The sequence below is a fragment of the Homo sapiens genome, chromosome 2 (assembly GCF_000001405.40).
Source record: "Homo sapiens chromosome 2, GRCh38.p14 Primary Assembly".
NCBI lineage: Eukaryota > Metazoa > Chordata > Mammalia > Primates > Hominidae > Homo > Homo sapiens.
The window spans coordinates 13984906-13986606 of record NC_000002.12 but is presented as its reverse complement, the minus strand read 5'-3'; the positions used below and the strand labels follow the sequence as shown (position 1 = coordinate 13986606).

Here is a 1701-nt window from a genome sequence, read left to right as displayed (position 1 = left end):
AGACTTATTCATGGTACAAGCGGACAGTGGGAAGTAAACTTCAAAGGCATTCTCTTACTGTAAGACTTCCTAGGAAGGTTGAGAAGATGAGAAGGGAGAAAAATCGAGTCTATCTCTAATCAGCACTAATGCATTGTACATTTCCCCAGAGCCCATTTCAATTTACTAGTTTATCCATTTGTTATTTTCAGTAAATTAATATCATTGCTCATCTCAAAGACATGAGTGTTTGACCCTGGAAAGAACAGGTAATTTATTTGAATAGAAGATTACGGAAGGGATTTTGTAATGTTGACATGTGTGTGCTGATAAACGTGTCGGTAAACGGAGAAGTTCATTACCAGAATATGACCCTTGAAAGTGTCACATTGACAATGCCAAAGATAATTGCCGCCATAAGCATGGACCAGGAGACAATCAAGCTAGGCTATTTAAATCCCAGAAGAAGTCACAGGTCTTTCCACATTCATTTTCATTTATCCTCCCTGTGTTATTTCCTTCGGAATTCATAATGCAGCCTGTTCTTTACCCGTTAGTTTCCACATTAGAAAACAAGTCCCCTGAGCTGTGCCTCAGTTGTTAATCATTTGTGTACTTATCCTCCACGTCCATGTAGACAATACTAAGGTAATAACTTTTGAAATTAATTGAATTTGTTATAGTCTTCTTGTAGTTTTACCACTTTAAATTTTCTAAGTATAAAAACCGAAATATGCAGTGAGCCAAGATAGGGCCACTGCACTCCAGCCGGGGTTACAGAGCAAAAGCCTATCTCAAAATAAATAAACAAATAAAATACCCAGATAAAAGATTATTATGCTTGGTGTTTTTTTTTAACCTGTCCCTTGTTCTAAAAGGACTTTTTAAGCTACTTTAATTATCTGCCACGATTTACAGATAATTTAAAGTACTTTATTATTTTAATGTCATGTAATGTGCCATACATATTCTTATAGTGTTTTTTGTATTTTATCATGTGCCAGACAGAGGCCACTTGCTGTTCAACAATTCCTGTTGAGGGGATGGTGAAGGGAGGGTTGTTATTGTTAGTTTGTTTTTTTTTTGTTTTGTTTTCTTTTGTTATGTTTTGTTTCATTTTCTGGTCACTCACAGAGCCTACATTTGCCAGCTTCTTTAACCATGAGGGGTTGTTATAGACAATTTAATATAGGTACACACAACTTCCAGGCTTTGCCTATTAAAATTTTCCTGACGTATTTTGATGCAGACGAGTAGAGTGACCTTAGAAGCCAGATTCTGAAGAAGATAGTTTGGCTGTCTCAATGTGTTATGGGAAGCAGTGCACTGTGTACACACACCTGCTGACCAGGAACACACACATTAGACTGTTATGTATGAGAATCTTACGTATATTATCTGAAATCACTTAAATGATGGGCATGGTTTGTTAGAGTAATAAGGGTGTGCTTAACACATCTTAAAGGCATGTTAGGAGATCATGATGGATATTAAAAGGCCAAAGAGACCCACAAGAATAATCACGAAACTTCCCAGGAAGACAGATCAGCCCATCAAATGAGGAGGCACAAGTTTAAATCACAAATGCACAGCCTATAGGCAAGTTTGATGCCTATAACCTGCTGTGTTGATAATGGTGTAGGATTAAGAGGATACATAGTTCCAGGGCATCTAGAAAGCAACTGCTTCTTTCCATTGGTGGCTAATTCCTAGTTCAAGCCC

General features: G+C 37.3%; 1 annotated feature.

The window, feature by feature from the left end:
* Positions 430–599: an enhancer, noted in NCBI's record as "experimental_52953 CRE fragment used in MPRA reporter constructs". NCBI's record gives its function as "activates a minimal promoter by MPRAs in K562 erythroleukemia cells, with activity observed for both the introgressed and non-introgressed 2:14126218 variant alleles {active_cell/tissue: K562}" and the evidence as "EXISTENCE:reporter gene assay evidence [ECO:0000049][PMID:34662402]".